Raw genomic sequence first — 19741 nt, 5'->3', positions numbered from 1 at the left:
TTATATCCACCATAGGTGTAGGGCAGACAATGGCCAACATCCAAAGGTCAAGGGAGATGAGACAGCCAAGAGGCAGGTCCATCCTTCTTGTGCAGTCATCTTATTTAAGTTCTCTCTGTATCCAGATAGCCTCCTGAGGAAGAAGAAGAGAAAAAAGAGGAGGGAGAGGAAGAGAGGCTGGGGAAGGAGGAGAGGAAGATGAATAGACAGAGTAAGGGGAAGAGTAGGAGGAGTGGTAAAGGAGTGCACGAGGGCTTCTTGGAGTCTTCAACACTGATGGACTTCGTATAGCACCCACTGGGGGATATAGCACAGAATAGTTGCCCAAACATACTGGCCAAGAGAGTACATTGTTTACAGGACAGTTAGCAACATCTCATAGATCTAGTATTCCATGAAACAGTTTCAGAAATATAATTGAATAATGTAATGTGGTGAAAAGGGGTATTTGACATAAAGGATGGGCAGTGAGACTCCAAAGATCCTTTCCCTTCTCAAATTTGCTTTGACTGACGCTGCGCTGGTCGTGCTCTGAATCTCCCTCTTGGTTTTCTCTCTAAGAATAGGACCCCACTTAAGTATAGCCTCTTTCCAAGCTGCCATAGCCTGCATTGCTGTTAATGGGGACTATGCCTGGTCTAATTCAACTCTTTTAAAGCTAATCCAGAAGACATTCAACTGGAGCCCTTCAACTGAACAGGAGACCCCAGTCACCTAACATTGTGTTCAGAGAGAGCAGCTGGGAGTTGTTGCAGCTTCTTGGCATTTCTTCAATAATCAATGACTTGTAAGACTGGAGACAGAAGAAAGGTGAAAAGCAACAGCAGTGGAGCTGGGCATTGCGAGTCCCATCTGAACTGCGACAAAAAGGATTCATTACTAGACTCCCAACACAAGCTTGAGAAGGCCATCTGTTGCTGCCAGTGGCTATGTCAGTGCTGAAATGGAGTCACCACCCCAGAACAGCATTTCCAAGAATCCCTGGGGACAGGGGCACCCACTATGGGGACAGTGTGCTGAGCGTGGGCCTGGATGGGCATAGGTGGGTGGGAGCAACCTAACCAGCTACTCATCCCGTTCCATAGAGAAAGTAATGATAGGGACATGAATAAAGTTCCAGCTGCTATGGGAGACCTGGAGAGGAGGAGGTTCTTGAAATTCCACGTGCTGAGGAACCCCTCAGTAAGAGGTGAGACGCTGCAGCTTGGATTCCACTAGGCTGAATGGCAAGAATAGAGTTTCTGACAAATGCAGCCCAAGATCTCCATGAAATCCCAGGGACAGACCTGTGCCTAACACCCAGCATGGCACATCTGCAGGCAGGACACACTACAAAAATCCTGCTTTCTTTTCCCCAAGGGGAAGATTTTGATGTCTGCAATGCTCCTTCCATGGCTAAACACGTATCTCACAATTCTCTGGGACAGAGGTCCTGCAATCAGTTTCCAATTAAAACTGATAATCGGCAAAACACTTAAAACATGCTATCTATAGACAGGAAATGTAGCTCCAGTTCATTGAAAATTTTCACAAACGGCGAGTATTGAACTATTTAAGGAACAGACGGTGCCAAAAAGATTCTGACACTGACTTATGTATTTAGACACTGGCCCTGCAGAGCTAGGTCTCACCTTTCCATCTATAGGGCTGCTTATGGCAATCGCCGTGACGCTCTGCTTTGGGGGCTTTTTGTCTCACCCTTAGAGCATGCTGGATATGACCCAAGGCCAACTGAAGGTGACAGGGATTTATATCTCCCATGGGGGAAGTACTTTATCAAGAATGGTTGGGTATTTGGTGTCTAAATACCCCCAAGCCATCTCATTCTGCACTTGGGATGAATGTGAGGTGAGTGTTCTACAAAGTCTCCCATAGGGTTCCCCTGGGAATTAGCTCCAGTCGCCCACAGTGGAAACCTGCTAGCTTATTCCTCCCACTTAAATTGGCTGCATTCCTTGTATGTCTCACCTCCCCACACCCTTACCTGTGCTATCTGGGACTCCCTCCCAAGTAAGTGTTTTCCACTCACAAGTGTGCCTCAGGGTCTATTTCCAGGGAACCCACACTTGAACACCTTGTATGCTAATTTATCCTCGAACTTGAATGTCTGGCTAGAAGTAGAATTGTAGGCTCAAAGTTATTTTGCACCAACACTTGAAAGACCATTCGTTATTTCCTGGGCATTTCTGGTTACCTCTTTAGCTGCCTTTCTTTTTTTCTCAATTTAAGAAGTATATCTCTTGCGAGAATTCCCTCCCCACTCTGCAAGCCACTCTCATTTTAAATTTATTTGATTTCAATTTCTACCCATGCTCTCCCCCAAACTTCAAGGGAGACAAATCAAGACCTCTAAGTGGGCTCCTGAAAGTCCCCTCCCCCTAGAAATTTAGGGTTGCAGGGCCTCTCCATGTTCCACTCAGCTGCCCTTCCAGCTTCTCTAAGCAGGGCCCCTCGTGTCTCCAACATCCCCAGACTCTACAACGTTAGTAAACACCTTCTCGGAGGGCAGTAGGTAAAGTTCATCTGCTGTGGCCTCGGGTAACACAGAGACGGGTCAGAAGTCAAGAAACCAGGTGATCAAAGACCATGTCCAGCCAAAAGCAGTGAGAACACAGCTTCCACTTGTAATGGTTGCATCAGGGGAAGGATTTATTGATCCACACCATTTTCTTGGATTTTCTATCCTCCCCAGGGGGCAGAGGTGGGTTGATTGTGTGGCGTGTCGGCAAAGGCCAGGTCCACCCTGGTATGGCTTGCTTCAGTGTCCACAGCCACTCTGTCAGATCCACATCGTTTCTATGATTCCCAAGCTGTCTACTGAGTAAAACGCTCAGCACCGATTTAGAGGCCAGGCTGGGTCTTAAGTATTCATCCACCTTCCTCCTGATGCTCCACGCAGATGTGCTGGGACCTACTTCAGAGTGTCCCTGAGCCATGACTGCTTGACTCCACAGATGGCTTCAGGAAGACAGCACAGAAGAGGGACCTGTGAAAGTTGATAGAATCTAGAATTACCTGAAGGAGAAGCATCAAGTAGCCCCAGAAGCCTCTCTGCATTTCTCCTCCCTAACACACATGCGTGCATGTGCACACACACACACACACACAATCATAAAAGTCAGCTTTGTGGCAACTTGTGATTTTTAAATTTCTTTGAGTTTCACATATGCATGAGTATATTTCTAGAATCTCTTCGTTGGTCCATGGACATGTCTATCAATTCTTGTCTCATTCACCAATACTACAGAGTAAGTTTTGAGTCCAGAATGACAAGCTACCCCTCTTGCATAATCCTTCACATTTTTTTGGAATATAATTTCATCCGATCTTCCAGTTACACACACACTCAAAATTCTGCTATAAACTATCATTAGGATTGTACTGGATATACTGATTTATTTAGAGGCGAATTGATGCCATTGAAAAAATTGATCTTCCTCTTAAGAAAAATGTAGTATTTTAAAATATTATGTGACTATTCAAACTGAAGGCTCATAAAAAGTGGCATGTGTGTTTTCCTTGTATTTACCTTCATTATTTTTCTAGGTGTTTCATAACGTTTGCAACCAATGTAAATGGGATAGCTTAAATCTATGATATTCCCTATTTATTGGAAGACTGTGCAAATTTTTAATTTATTTATGTATTCATTTATTTTTATTGTAGAGATGGGGTCTCCTTATGTTGCCCAGGCTGGTCTTGAACTCCTGGGCTCAAGCGCTCCACCCCGCTCAGCCTTCCAAAGTGCTGGGATTATAGGCGAGAGCCACTGTGCCTCACCTAGTATGCAAAGTTTTTACGCATTTAACTTCTATCAATCAGCCTCTCCTGACCTATTTCCTAGGTGATTGCCTTGGATTTCTAGGATGTCAGTTCCTTAAGAGAAAGATAGTTTTCCACTTTCTTTGTTAACAAAATACACCGATAAGTTATCTTCCCTCTCCAAATTGTTTAGGACAATGAATATGGCCTCAGGGTCTTTACACGGTTCTATGTGGCCAGGAGAAAACCTGCGGGACTGAGCGTTCCTTCCCTGCCACTCAAGAAAGGGAGTGTGTGACCTGGGTCGCTTTAAAAAAAAAATTTTTTTAAACATGCTATGTATAGAAAGGAAACGTAGCTCCAGTTCAATGAAAATTTTCACAAACGGTGAATATTGACCTATTTAAGGAACAGACAGTGCCAAAAAGATTCTGACACTGACTTATGTATTTAGACTCTGGCCCTGCAGAGCTACATCTCATCCTTGCATCTACAGGGCTGCTTATGGCAATCACCATGACTCTCTGCCTTAGGGGCTTTTTGTCTTACAGTTGGAACATGCTGGATATGACCCAAGGCCAACTGGAGGTCTTGAACTCCTGGGCTCAAGCGATCCACTCCCCTCAGCCTTCCAAAGTGCTGGGATTATAGGTGAGAGCCACTGTGCCTGACCTAGTATGCAAAGTTTTTATGCATTTAACTTCTCTCAATCAGCCTCTCCTGGTCTATTTCCTAGGTGATTGACTTGGATTTCTAGGATGTCAATTCCTTAAAAGAAAGACAGTTTTCCACTTTCTTTGTTAATAAAATACACCAATATGTTCTCTTCCCTCTCCAAATTGTTTAGAACACTGAACACGGCCTCAGGGTGTTCAGAACCATGTAAAGCATGGTTCTACGGGGGCTAGGAGAAAACCTGGAGGAGTGAGCCTTCCTTCCCTGCCACTCAAGAAAGGGAGTGTGCGACCTGGGTCACTTTACAGTAACGTCAATTTCCTCCGTTCTTACATAAGACTGAGTGGGCAGCCAGTGTGGAGGCAAGCCACATCTCATAATAGTCATTTTAGTTCCTCATGAGAACCACACTACAAAAAACACAAAGCGCTGTCCTCACCGTTATCCCTCTGACAGCCTGGAAAATCCATGTCCAGCATCTAGACAATACCCACATGGGTCACACTTTAATGGCAACAATGTAGTTATTCTAGATCAGAGACTTGGAAGGGAATATGGCTTGAGACATATGAGTATGTCTCAAGGAACTGGTCCAGTTTTAGCATAAGATTTTCCAAAGCATTAAAAGCCCACCTGCATCCCAGGTCCACAGAATAAAGGTGTGAAGCTGCACTGCATTGAGCTTTGGGAGGGGCTCCACTGCACTGAGCTTTGGGAGGGTTTAGATAAGTGTGGGAGACACAGCAATGTTTAATTGCAGTGTTCAATTTCTGCAACTAAACACTCCATTTACATGAATTGTGTATTATAGGAGGAGTACTTGCAGAGTCATGACCAAAGATGGATGCAAGATTGAGAAGCAGGTAGGAAGTTTGACCTGGAACTAATTCCTGGATTGGAACATGGCGGACAAAGTTGCTGATCACTACCCAGGGGACAAGGCAAGATGCAATGGGTGCTGTTTATTTACAGAAAGGAGAAATTTTAATGGATTTTATACAAGCCAGGAACAAGCTCTGAGGCCAGGGTAGTTGAGGGTTCTGTCTAGGAAGGAGACATGCAGATGGCACCCAGCCACAGGATATACCCACCTCCTCTCCCAGCAACTTCCACTCACCTTATTCAGGCTTGAACCAGAAGGAAGCCAGGCATGGTGGCCAGTGTTTGAATCTTGCAGACTGTTGGCACTAGGTTCTGAGGACAATTGTGAGTCACCATAGTGACTATGACTTCACTTGGTGCTGAACCAATCAGGCCCTGGGACTCAAGGAAAGAGAGGGAGTGCCAAGCTGTTACTGTTTACCCTCTGGCCCAGATCTTTCTTCAGAAGAAACCTGAGTGGTCTCACAGGTAAAATATCCTGATATACCAAGATCATAGAGCATCCTTTTGTGCCATTAACTAACTAACCTACCTGATAAACCCCAACCCTGTTTGGTAATGGGGGGAGGTTATCAGAGAGTCATTTGTTCAAACTGATACAGAGACACTATAGAGCAGTGGGTAAAAGCAGAAGCTTCAGATACAGGCTTTCTCAGTTCCAATCTCACCTCTCTGTCACTTGGGCAAGTCTTTTAGTCTCTCTTGGGAGGTCAAAATAGAGAACACAGTGAGCATCCACCCCTAGCCTTGGCACTGTGCTAGATTCAAATGAAATGCAGAACTGGGTTTTTGGGGATGAGGCAGGGCCAGGCATCAGAGGTGAGTACAATCTTTAAGCCACTGTGATTACGTTCCCAGGATGGAAAATCAGCAGGATGGACCTTAGAAACAGAAACTCGGTAGTACTTGAGAATGTCCAGTTTATCTCTTACACAGGGGTTTGGAGTAAGATTCATACCTGCTTCACCAGTGATTTTCAAAGGAGGCAAATCCTATTTGAAGCTAAAGTCACATAAAGAGATTTGGAATGAGGAAACAAATTATAGCAGCCTGCAAGTTGTAGAATGAAGAAATGCAAATGTAAAGTACTGAACTTTGTCATGGATGGATTTACCAAAGAGAATTACTCTGCATAACATGAATAATGGAGTTCAGAAGGAAGCCCATATCCCAGGTACAGGGAAAACTCAGAGGTGAGAAGAGGCAGCTCTGAAAAAGAGCAACATAGAATTGAGTTAAAATTAGTGTGGATATAAGAATTACAATGACATTTGAGCTATGAGGTAGTGTTTTGAGTACAATCTAACAAGCCTGTGTGTGTCAGGTAATGATTAGAGGGATGCAATAGTGTGTCTTTAATGTCCCGGGTCCCATCAGGCTGCTGCACAGCCCCATGTGTAAGACAGATAGAAGAAACAATATGGTTGGTGCTTCAAATCAGATGATGACCCAAAGCAATCTCCTGTGACTACTGCTGGTAGCAGTGTGTGTGTGTATGGGTGTGTGTGTGTGTGTGTGTGTGTGTGTGTGGTTTTGTGCCAGTGAGGAAGAGGTTGCCGGGTACACTTGATTACCTAGAATACATCATCTTTTTCAGACTTCCTCGGTTGTGCTGTTTTACTGAGGTTGGGTGGAGTCAACACATCATGGATAAAGAAGTCCCTAAAGGCAGTCCCAGGGAGCCCGCACTGAACATCAAGAAGTCAGACAAATCCTTCAAACGCAAGAAGCCCACCGAAAATGTGCTGATCTTTTTAATCAACAGACAACTGGGCAGGCACAGAAGTGACATCGACCTGTCAAGATGGGTGTGGATGCTGTCATAAAGCAACTCTAGGGTGGACATGGCCTTGGACAAAAAGTCATGTGGCTTACATGCTGAAGCCTGCCCATATTTTTGAGAAATTAAATATAATTAGAACAATAAACTCCTCCCATGTTTGAGTCATTAAAACAGAGTCTGTCATTTCACTCCTTGAGGTTGGATGTGTGTTTGCTGACAGGGTGTTCTTGGGTTACACTGGAAGGGGCTTCTGTTCATCCTAACATGCTGTGCAGGGGTGCTTAGACCCAGGGGAGAGGGTGAGATCATGCTGCACACCAGATCTCTCCCACCATCAATCTGAAAAACACTGCAAAGTCAAAGTGATGTAGTACTTGGCATTTGAGGACCAAAGACTCTTCTCCCTAGCCATTTTGAAGAGACTGCCCTGGTGTTCCCCTCTAAAACCCAATGCTTGTCCTAGTGAAAAGACATTGTTTAAGAGCAGACCAACAGTTGGCCTGGGGGTTTGGGATATGTTTTAATACTGCCAATGTCATATCCACAGAGCCTTCCAGAGGCAACCGCTCTGCCCTTTGTCCCCAGGAAAGTATAGAATGCTCTGGTCACTTTTTTGTGTCATGTCAAACAAACCTGCTCAGGCCACAGCCAAAGATAATTCATTTGACTGAAATGAAGCCACCTGGTAGGACAACAACACACATGAGATGGCTCCCATTGAAGAAGCTCTGTCCCCAAGGAATGTGCTGAGCAAGTCAGATACTCATTCTGAGAAACCTGAAATGGGAACTATGTGGGCAATTGGTCACTGACAAGTGAGAGTTAAAGCTGAAGAGGGGACAGGGAGAGCAAAGAGGTCAGAGCCGTGGCAAACATGGGCAAGCCTAAGTGAGGAGTAAGATGAAATTTACATAAGGTGAACCATTAAAGCCATCACAGATTCCAAGCATTTCTCTTGTCCTTTCACGTGAGCTGCAAAATAAGCCCCTGCAAGCAGTCCTCTGTCCCCTCTTCCCCTCCTCCCCAATTCCCTGTGTTCTCACAACCTGTCCAGCATTCCCCAAGGCCCCTTCCTGTGTCCCCTCCCCCGCCTACATCTAAGGGGCTGTTACTCTCTCTTCCCTTAGCCAGGTCTCTTCCAGATTTTTTATGTGGTACGAAGTTAAACTGCTCTATGTCCTTTTCACTGTCCTCTTTGTCCCTGTCACCTTCTCTGTCCCTGCACTGATGCAGCATCGCCAAAAAAGAGCCACCAGCCTCTCCTCAGAGGACGCAGCTGGCTGTAGGATGGAGAGGAGGGGTTAGAGGCTGCCAGGTAGAGGGGCCTCCTGGGTGCACCGTTGGGAGGAACGCTGCCTGGACACTGCTATGTCGGTGACTATTTACCTGCAGCCCAGCATCAAACAGTGGCTGTGAGGTGGAGAATAGGTGGGGAATGGAGGCTGAAAGGGCAGCAGGTAGGGCAAGAAGGAGCCAAACCCACAGGAGCAGAGGCCAATAACAGCCAACCTCCTACACTCCATGGCCACACAACAGAAGAGACAGAATTTAGGATACAGAGTTATGTGTGGATAAATCTCACCATCATACTGAGTGAGAAAACAAGTAGCACAGAATTATGTACCAAAGAGAAACCCAACTGTGCCAAGCAGTACTTGGGTATATACATAGACAGTAAAGTTATCCAAACTAGAGCAGCAGCACATTCAAGTGGAACTCTGTCCACTTTCCGACTTGACTAGTGCCCCAAAACAATTGGTACCAACTATTTCCCATCTTGCAAGGAGTTGCCTAACAATGGAGGCCTGGTAAAGAAGGCAATCACAATCATGTGACCTCTGACCACTCACTCACCTACAGGTGTCTACTCACACTGGAAGTCTGGGTGGGTTGGAGACCAGAGAGGCATGCTTCCCAGGGATTGGAGGCTGTGCCGAGTTTAAACGAGGAAAACTTCCTACACTTCAAATTCACTGGAAGGTTGGGGCTACTCAGTGTTCACCTAGAGAACTTGACTTTTGTTTCCAGAAGTGACACTCACAAGGAAGAAATTCAGGAGGAAAGTGGCTGTAGGAGAGGGAGAGAAGATTTGGCCAAAATTCCTCTGAAGAGATTTTTCTCAGGAGATCTTAGTGGCGGCCAAATGTAACCTTCTCGGGACGGGGAAGGGGGTGGGAATCTGGATGCAGCTGACTCACAGGAATCAGAGGCTGACTGGAGACCATGCACACAGTGTCAGGAGACACTCTCTTCTTCTACTCTTTCATTTCTAGCTGCTGCCTCTCATTGCTCAAATCACTAACCAGACAGCCAGGAAGCCAAGGTGATGTCTTCCATGGTATCAGCCTTCTGGAACACACAGCCCTGCAGAGAAGCATATATCTAGTTGGACAAACTGAGAAGAATCAAATCAATTCACCACTTTTTTCTACTTCCATTACTGTTCCACCACTGTTGCTTTAATCAGAGGAATAAAACCCTTGCCCAACACATGGTAGCATACACAGTGTTGTGAGCCATCTTATCATAACAGATGAGGTCAATTTGATTATAATACCATGTGGAACCTAAGTTGTAACTCTAATGGTTACAAGAAAGTTTCCTACACATTCACATTGACTGGGTGAAGGGAAAGTCACCTTGGCAGGGGATAGATGAAGATGGCAGAATAGAAACCTACACCACTCATCCCATCTCCCTTCACTGGAACACCAGATTTTAACGACTATCTGCACACAAAAAACACTGCCACAAGAACCAAGAATTAGGTGAGCAATCACATCACCTGGTTTTAACTTCATATCACTGAAAGAGGCATTGCACAGGGCAAGAGAGGTAGTCTGGAACCACCAATGCTACCCCTCCTCCATCCACCAGCGTGGAGAGTCTGTGCACTTTGGGGAGGGAGAGTGCAGCAAGTGGGGGACTTTACCTTGAACTCAATGCTGCCCTATCACAGCTGAAAACAAATCCATGCAGGGTGCAGCCAGTGCCCACACATATTATTATATATTATATATAATAATAATATATATTAATAGATTATATATTAATAGATTAGATTGTATATAATAATATATATTAATAGATGATTATATGGTAATATAGTAATAGATTGTATATAATAATATATATTAATAGATTATATAGTAATAGATGATTGTATATAATAATATATATTAATAGATTATATAGTAATAGATTGTATATAATAATATATATTAATAGATATACATTATATAGTAATAGATATTGTATATAATAATATATATTAATAGATTATATAGTAATAGATATTGTATATAATAATATATATTAATAGATTATATAGTAATAGATATTGTATATAATAATATATAAATAGATTATATAGTAATAGATATTGTATATAATAATATATATTAATAGATTATATAGTAATAGATGATTGTATATAATAATATATAAATAGATTATATAGTAATAGACATTGTATATAATAATATATATTAATAGATTATATAGTAACATGATTGTATATAATAATATATATGAATACATTATATAGTAATAGATTGTATATAATAAAATATATGAATACATTATATAGTAATAGGTTGTATATAATAATATATATGAATACATTATATAGTAATAGGTTGTATATAATAATATATATGAATACATTATATAGTAATAGGTTGTATATTATATTATATATGAATACATTATATAGTAATAGGTTGTATATTATATTATATATGAATACATTATATAGTAATAGGTTGTATATTATATTATATATGAATACATTATATAGTAATAGGTTGTATATTATATTATATATGAATACATTATATAGTAATAGGTTGTATATTATATTATATATGAATACATTATATAGTAATAGGTTGTATATTATATTATATATGAATACATTATATAGTAATAGGTTGTATATTATATTATATATGAATACCTTATATAGTAATAGGTTGTATATTATATTATATATGAATACATTATATAGTAACAGGTTGTATATTATATATGAATACATTATATAGTAACAGATTGTATATTATATATTAATACTTATATAGTAATAGATTGTATATTATATATAATAATATATTATATAATAATATATATTTCATATATATATATGTATAATCTCCAAGAAGGGCTGAAGCAAAGACCTCATCAACAATCACTAGGGAGAATCTATCTCAGTGCCTTTGCAATAACTGTTCCCTCCACATGGATTTCCTCTGGCTTTTTTCCCTATGGTTGTTTCCTTCATATCAGCAACTTGAGGGCAAGGGTTTTATTGTTGTTGTTGTTCTCTGTCATGCCTACAAGCCCTAGAAAAACTCCTGTCTGATAGTCAGTACTCAATAATATTTGAAGAATAATTGAATGAGAGAAAGGTAAGGTAGGGGGCAATTCCAGGAGATCTAGCGAAAGAGTCTGGTTTCAAGGTGAGTCAGACCAAATCAGAATATTTCACTTCCCTCTTTCTAAACACTATTTGTCCTTACTTATGATAATGTTATGAATGGCTCTAAACAGAAGGGGTATTTCTCAGAAGACACGAGATCTCATTTCAACTCTGCCTCTTCCTGGTTTTGTGACCTGTTGACAGGGCTCAGGCTGTGGCAATAACTTGTAGGTGAATCACTTGATAATTTAGGGTTTGTGTAGTAAAATGGTGTTCTTAAAGCTACAAAAGCTCTTCTGCCAATGAATATTTTACTAATGTTTAGACAAACATTTCTCCAAACTTATAATAGCATTAGTTGCTTTAGATGACATATATTATTAAGTATATTATTCATTATGATTTAATGGATGAGAGAAGTTCCCAACCAGCAGAAAAAGAAAATAAACCATTAATGAATTAATAAATGTAGTTATATCTTACCATTTCTTCCTCCATTCTTTGTCTTTTATGCCTAAATTTTGGAGGAGGGAGGAGTTAACCTCTCTCTCTCTCTCTCTCTTTTCTCCCTCTATCTCCCCATAGTTTTAGTCATACTGGGCCCACAAATTTTTATCCATTTTTTCCCTTAACATTAAATCACCAGCAATTTCTCATACTTTACAAAAGGACATTTAAATGGCTTTGTAATTAACCTTCAAGTAGATGAATTGATATTTCTTGAACCATTCTCCACTACATGGTTGTGCAGGTTATTTTCAACTCACTGCTCTTATAAGTGACTCCAGTTAATTTCCTAGTATATGTTCCTATAGTGCTCTGTACTTTTCCTCCACGGCACTTTTCACAACTTGAAATAATCATCTTTTTCATGTGTATCTTTTAAATAATCAGCTCCATGAGGGCAGGGACCACATTTGTTTGGTTCCTCAGTGTCCTCAACAAAACACATAGCACAGTGCCTAGTGCATAGCAGATACTCAATAAATATTTGTTGAATAAATGAATGAATAAATAAATGAATAAGTGAATGAATGAAAGGCATGTTGTCTTAGTCAACTCCATCTGTCATAACAATATGCCATAGAATGGGTGTCTTAAACAACAGAAATTTATTTTCACAGCATTATGGAGGCTAGAAGTCCAAGATCAAGGCGCCAGCATGGTTGGTTTTAAGAAATCTGGTTGTTTGAAAGTGTGTAGCACTTCCCCCCTCATGCTCTCTCTCTCCTGCCAGGCATGTGAAAATGTGCCTGCTTCCCCTTCATCTTTCGCCATGATTGTAAGTTTCCTGAGGCCTCACCAGAAGCAGAAGCCTGTACAGCCCACAGAACCATGATCCAATTAAACATCTTTTCTTTATAAATTACTCAGTTTCAGATAGTTCTTTATAGCAGTGCGAGAATGGACTAATACAGGTGCCAAACACTATGGCTGGTTCTCGGCCCCAGACGGTGCCTGGGGAAGGTGAGTGAAGGGACTTTGGGACTGCCCACTCTCGCCACAGAACTCTGGGATCCTAGCTGCAGGGGACCCCACCCTCTGTGGATGTTTGGGCTGGAAGGGGAATCTCTCTGGAGATTAGACAGAGAGGGAGCTACAGCGGGTGCAAAGCTGGGGACCTATGAGCATGGGACAGCTCCAGTGGAGCCTGGCCATAAGCATCCACCCCCAAGGGCTGCTCACCTCTTTTGGAGAGGCTCTGGTCTCAGCTAACTACTAGGAAGAATGCAGGGCCTGCTACCCCATGGGACTGGGGCATGTCTGTCCTGCAGACTTATCTGCCCACAAGCCCCTCACAGTGCCCTCACAGGGCCCCTGACTGGCCACCCCACAGAAATGTGTACACAGTGCAGCCTCAGCTGCCTGGCCTGGGTGCTTTGCTCCACCTGAGTGTGTTCTGGCAGGCTGGGAGTCCTTTGGATCTGCCAGTGCACCTGGAACCCAACCCCAAGGATCTGGAGGAGGGAGCTATGAGCAGGTCCTGGTGCACCAAGGCTGCAGCCCACAGCTCAGGAGTGCTGAGCTGGGGTCTGTGCTTAGTACTTGAGTAGAGGAGGAGCCCACACTCTCAGAAAACTGAAAGAGGTGAGTTGTAAAGGTTTGCTGGCTGGTGTGGGGCCTAGGGATGCCTCCCTCCACAGGGCTTGTCTGGTAAGGATGTGGCCTATCTCCCTTCCAGGCCTTCCCCCAAGGGAGACCTGTAGCCCAAAAGACCTAACAACGACAGCAACAAAATTACGAGCACAGTGCTAGTAATCAGAGGTGGCTCCCCCAAGGCCCAGGAGTGGACTTGGTGAGGAGGTCACCCACCTCTCTCCCCCAGCACCACAGTATAAAGCTGCAAATGCAAGGATACACAAGAGTCATGTGGCTAAGAGCCTGTCTACTGCCCATTGCTCTCAAGTGCCATCTACTGGATCGCAGCCCAAACTACAACAAAAAACTACTGATTGTCCCGCTACTGAGAAACCAAGGGCAAGAATTCAACAAAAAACAAATGTTCTGTACAGAGCCTTAGACCTCTGGGAACCTCGAGAAATAAAGCCAGATGACTATATTTAACTTACACCACAGTTGAAGGAACACCAGCCTTCCCAGATGAGAAATAATCAATCAGCACAAGAACACTGGCAATTCAAAAAGGCACAGTGTCCGCTTACCTCTAAAGGAACTTACTAGCTCCCCAGCAATGGTTCTTAACCGGTCTGAAATGTCTGAAATAACATACATGGAATTCAGTATCTGGATGGCAGGGAAGCTCACCGAGATCCAGGAGAAAACTGAAACTCAATCCAAGGAAGCCAAACAATCTAGTAAAATGATCCAAGAGCTGAATGATGAAATAGCCATTCTAAGAAAGACCCAAACTGAACTCCTTGAGCTGAAAAATTCACGACAAGAAGTTCATAATATAATCAAAAGTATTAACAGCAGAATAGACCAAGCTGAGGAAAGATTCTCTGAGCTTGAAAGCTGGTTCATCAAATCAACTCAGTCAGACAAAAATAAAGAAAATTAATTAGAAAAAAAGAACAAAACCTCTGGGAAATATAGAATTATGTAAAGAGACCAAATGTATGACTCACTGGCATTTCTGAAAGAGAAGGAGAGAGAATAAGCAACTTGGAAAATATATTTGAGGATATAGTCCACAAAAATTTCCCTAATCTTGCTAGAGAGGTTGATATACAAATACAAGAAATACAGAGAACCCCAGTCAGATACTATACAAAAAAACCATCCTCAAGGCACATAGTCATCGGATTCACCAAGGTCAATGCAAATAATTTTTTTTTTTTGAGACACGGTCTTGCTCTGTTGCCCAAGCTGGAAGTGCAGTGGCACAATCATGGCTCATTGCAGCCTCAGCCTAACAGGATCATTCGATTCTCCCATCTCAGCCTTCAGAGTAGCTGGGATGACAGGCATATCCCAACATGCCCAGCTAGTTTGTACATTTTTTGTAGAGGCAGGGTTTAACCATGTTGCCCAGGCTGGTCTTTAACCCCTCGGCTCAAGTGATCCACCCATCTCAGCCTCCCAAAGTGCTAAGATTACAGGTTAGAGCCACTGTGCTCAGCCAGATAAAACATCTTAAAGGCAGCTAGAAAGAAGGGGCAGGCCTGGGTGCAGTGGCTCACACCTGTAATCCCAGCACTTTGGGAAGCCGAGGCGGGTGGATCACTTGAGGTCAGGAGTTAGAGACCAGCCTGGCCAACATGGTGAAACCCAGTCTCTACTAAAAATACAAAAATTAGCCAGGTGTGGTGGTGGGCACCTGTAATCCCAGCTACTCAGGAGGCTAAGGCAAGAGAATCACTTGAATCCAGGAGGCAGAGGTTGCAGTGAGCCAAGATCGTGCCATTGCACTCCAGCCTGTGACAGAGCAAGACTCCGTCTCAAAAAAAAAAAAAAAAAGAAAAGAGAAAAGAAAAGAAAAGAAAGAAAGAAAGAAAAAGAAAAGAAGGGCAGGTCACTTACATAGGGAATCCCATCAGGCTAGCAGCATACCTCTCAGCAGAAACCTTACAATAGAAGAAATTGTGGACCTATTTTCAGCATCCTTAAAGAAAAGAAATTCCAACCAAGAATTTCATATCCCACCAAACTAAGCTTCACAAATGAAGGAGAAATAAAATCCTTCTCATACAAGCAAATGCTGAAGGAATAGTGTACACCTAGACCAATCTTACAAGAGATCCTTAATAAAGTGCTAAATATGGATTCAAAAGAACAACACCTGCTACCACAAAAGCACACTTAAATCATGTAGCCCACAGGCACTGTAAAGCAATTATGCAATCAAGTCTACATAACAACCAGCTAACATTACAATGTTAGGATCAAAATCCAACATATCAGTTTGAAACTTGTATGTAAATGGCTTAAAAGATACAGAGTGGCAGGCTGGATAAAAAGACAAGACCCAACCATCTGTTGTCTTCAAGAGACACATCTCACATGTAATGACACCTACAGGCTCAAAGTAAGAAGGTGGAGTAAGATCAACCATGCAAATGGAAAACAAAAAAGGGTAGGAGTTGCTACTCTTATGTCAGATAAACAGATTTTAAACCATTAAAGATTAAGGATAATGAAGGTCATCACATAATGATAAAGAGTATAATCAAACCAGAAGCCTTAACTATCCTAAATATACATGCACCAACATTGGATATATATGTTGGAGATATATATATATATATGTGTGTGTGTGTGTGTGTCTGTGTGTGTGTGTGTATATGTGTGTGTGTGTGTGTGTGTGTGTATATATATATATATGTCCTAAATATACCTGCACCCAGATTCATAAAACAAGTTCTTCTTGGCCTCTGAAAAAATGTAGACAACCATACAACAATAGTGGGAAACCTTAACACCCCACTGATAGTGTTAGACACATATCAAGGCAGAAAAAAAAAAAAACTCTTGACGTAACCTTGACACTTGATCAACTGGACCTAATAAACATCTACAGAACACTCCACCCAACAACCACAGAATGTACATTCTTCTCGTTTGCACATGGAACATATTCTAAGATCGACCACATTCTTGGTCATAAAACCAAGTCTCAATAAATTCAAAAAATCAAAACCATACCAACCAAACTCTTGGACCACAGTGCAATAAAAATATAAATTTATATCAAGAATATCTCTCAAAACTACAAAAATACATGTAAATTAAATAACTTACTCTTGAATAAATCCCTGGTGAACATCAAAATTAATGAAGAAATTTAAAAATTATTTGAAATTAATGAAAATTGGGACACATCAAAAATTTCTGGTATGCAACCAAACCAGTGTTAATAAGAGGAAACTTTATAGCCCTAAATGCTAGAAGTTAGAAGAATCTCAAATTAACAATCTAACTTTGCACCTAAAGGAACTTGAAAAAAAAAAACCCAAAGCTAGCAGAAGACAAGAAATAACTAAAGTTAGAGAAGCACTTAATGAAATGCAAAAATACATACAAAAGATCAATGAAACCAAGAGTTGGTTATTTGAAAAACGAAATAAGATTGATAGATCACCAGCTATATTAACAAAGACAAAGAAAGAGAAGATCCAAATAAGTACAATCGGAAATGACAAAGGCAATATTACAACTGATCTCACAGAAACACAAAAGATCCTGAGAGATGACTATGAACAACTCTCTGGATACAAACTAAAAATTTACAGGAAATGGATAAATTCCTAGAAGCACACAATCTCCCAAGAATGAATCACGAAGAGATTGAAACCCTGAATAGACCAATATCAACTTCTGAAATTGAATCAGTCATAAAGAATCTACCAACCAAAAGAAGCCCTGGACCAGATGGATTCATAACCAAATTCTATGAGATGTGCAATGAATAACTAATATCAATCCTAGTGAAACTATTCCAAAAAAAATCAAGGAGGAGGGGTTCCTCTCTAACTCATTCCATTAAGCCAACATCAGCCTAATACCAAAATCTGGCAGAGACACAATGAAAAAAGAAAACTTCAGACCAATATCCCTCATGAGCATAGATGCAATAATCCTCAACAAAATATTAACAAACCAAATCTAGCAGCATATCAAAAAGTTAATACACCATGATCAGGTAGGCTTCATTCCTGAGATGCATGACTGGTTCAACATATGCAAATCAATCAACAAGGTTCACCACATAAACAGAATGAAAAGGAAAATCATATGAACATCTCAATAGATGTACAAAAAGTTTTCAATAAAATCCAGCTTCCCTTCATGATGAAAACCTTCAACATACTAAGCATTGAAGGAACAAACTTCAGAATAATAAGGTTCTATGGCAAACCCACAGCCAGGTTCATACTGAGTGGGCAAAAGCTCAAACCATTCTCCTTGGTAACTGGAACAAGACAAGGATGCCCACTCCCACCACCCCTTTTCAACATAGTACTGGAAGTCTTAGCTAGAGCAATCAGGCAAGAAAAAGAAATAAAAGGCATCCAAATAGCAAAAGAAGAAGTCAAACTATCTCTCTTCACTGACTATATGATTCTGTACCTAGAAACCCCTAAAGACTGTGCCAAAAGGATCCTAGAACTGATAAATCACTTTAGTAATGTTTCAGGATACAAAATCATTGTACAAAACTCAGGAGCATTTCTACACACCTGCAATATCCAGGCTGAGAGTGAAATCAAGAACATAACCCACTTACAATAGCTACAAAGAAAATGAAATACCTAAGAATACAGCTAACCAAGGAGGTGAAAGATCTCTGCAAGGACAACTACAAAACAATGATGAAAGAAATCAGAGATGACATAAATAAATTTTTAAAAATTCCATGCTAATGGGTAGGAAGAACTAATATAGAAATGGCCATACTGCCCAAAGCAATTTACAGGTTCAATGCTATTCATATCAAACTGCCAACATCATTCTTCACAGAATTAGAAAAAAAAACTATTCCAAAATTCACATGAAGCCAAAAAGGAGCCTGAATAGCCAATGCAATCCTAGGAAAAAAGTACAAAGCTGGAGGCATCATACTACCCAACTTCAAATTATATTATATACCCACAGAAATCAAAACAGCTTTTTGTACTGGTACAAAAACAGACACATACAGCAATGGAACAGAATAGAAAATTTGGAAATAAGGCCACACATCTACAACCATCTGATCTTCGACAAGGCCGAGAAAAACCAGCAATAGGGAAAGGGCTCCCTATTCAATAAATGGTACTGGGATAGCTGGCTAGTCATATGTAGAAGACTAAAGCTGGAACCCTACCTTTCACTATATATAAAATTTCACTCAAAATCAATTAAAGAGTTAAATGTAAGACCTCAAACTCTAAAAATCCTGGAAGACAGCCTAAAAAATACTCTTCTCAACATCAGCCTTGGCAAAGAATTTTTGACTAAGTCCCCAAAAGCAATTGCAACAAAAACAAAAACGGACAAATAAGACCTAATTAAACTAAAGAGCTTCTACACAGCAAAAGAAACTGTCAATAGAGAAAAAAAAAACACAGATAACATGCATAATGGGATAACATATTCACAAACTATGCATCCAAGAAAGGCCTAATATCTAGAATCTATAGTGAACTTAAATTGACAAGAAAAAACAAATAACTCCATTAAAAATGGGCAAAGGATATGCACAGACACTTCTCAAAAGAAGACATACAGGTGGCCAACAAATATTATAAAATGCTCAATATCACGAATCATCAGAGAAATGGAAATCAAAACCACAGTGATATACCATCTCACACCAGTCACAATGGCTATTACTAAAAAGTCAAAAAATGACAGATGCTGGCGAGGCTGCAAAGAGAATGCTTATACCTGTTGATAGGAATGTAAATAAATTCAGCCACTGTGGAAAGTAGTCTGCAGATTTCTCAAAAAACTTAAAACAGCTACCATTCAACCCAGCAATCCCATTACTGGTATATACTCAAATGAAAATAAATCATTATACCAAGAAAACACATGCACTCATGTGTTCATGGTTGCACTATTCACAATAGCAAAGATACTGAATCAACCCAGGTGCCCATCAATGGTAGATTGGATAAAACAAATGTGGCACAAATACACCATGGAATACTATGCAGCCATAAAAAAGAATGAAATCTTACTACTTTGCAGAAACATGGATGGAGCTGGAGGTCATAATCCTAAGCGAATGAACACAGGAACAGTAAACCAAATAGCACATGTTCCAGCTCAAA

The 19741-nt window shown here is 41.0% G+C and overlaps 1 protein-coding gene and 1 long non-coding RNA gene across 3 annotated transcripts; one reads left to right on the top strand and one right to left on the bottom strand.

Annotated features, from left to right (window-relative positions):
* Nucleotides 1-2625: 2625 nt before the first annotated feature.
* Nucleotides 2626-5606, bottom strand: SMIM10L2B-AS1 (SMIM10L2B antisense RNA 1). The gene is made up of 2 exons (NR_103770.1): nt 5555-5606; nt 2626-2986 (listed from the first exon to the last, which is right to left on the bottom strand). It is a non-coding gene; the product is annotated as an SMIM10L2B antisense RNA 1 (long non-coding RNA).
* A 94-nt stretch (nt 5607-5700) lies between these two features.
* ETDB (embryonic testis differentiation homolog B) lies at nt 5701-7272 on the top strand. 2 transcript variants are annotated; one of them, NM_001355519.1, is made up of 3 exons: nt 5701-5787; nt 6256-6493; nt 6917-7272. In NM_001355519.1, the coding sequence occupies exon 3, from the start codon at nt 6966-6968 to the stop codon at nt 7143-7145; it is 180 nt and encodes a 59-aa protein (NP_001342448.1). In that variant the 5' UTR covers nt 5701-5787; nt 6256-6493; nt 6917-6965; the 3' UTR covers nt 7146-7272. The 2 variants fall into 2 exon arrangements, with proteins under 2 accessions (NP_001342448.1, XP_024308083.1); XM_024452315.2 differs by lacking the exon at nt 5701-5787 and having other exon boundaries at nt 6351-6512.
* Nucleotides 7273-19741: the final 12469 nt, after the last annotated feature.

This window comes from Homo sapiens, chromosome X, assembly GCF_000001405.40.
Source record: "Homo sapiens chromosome X, GRCh38.p14 Primary Assembly".
NCBI lineage: Eukaryota > Metazoa > Chordata > Mammalia > Primates > Hominidae > Homo > Homo sapiens.
The sequence above is the reverse complement of the archived record's forward strand: the minus strand, read 5'-3'. Positions and strand labels throughout refer to the sequence as shown.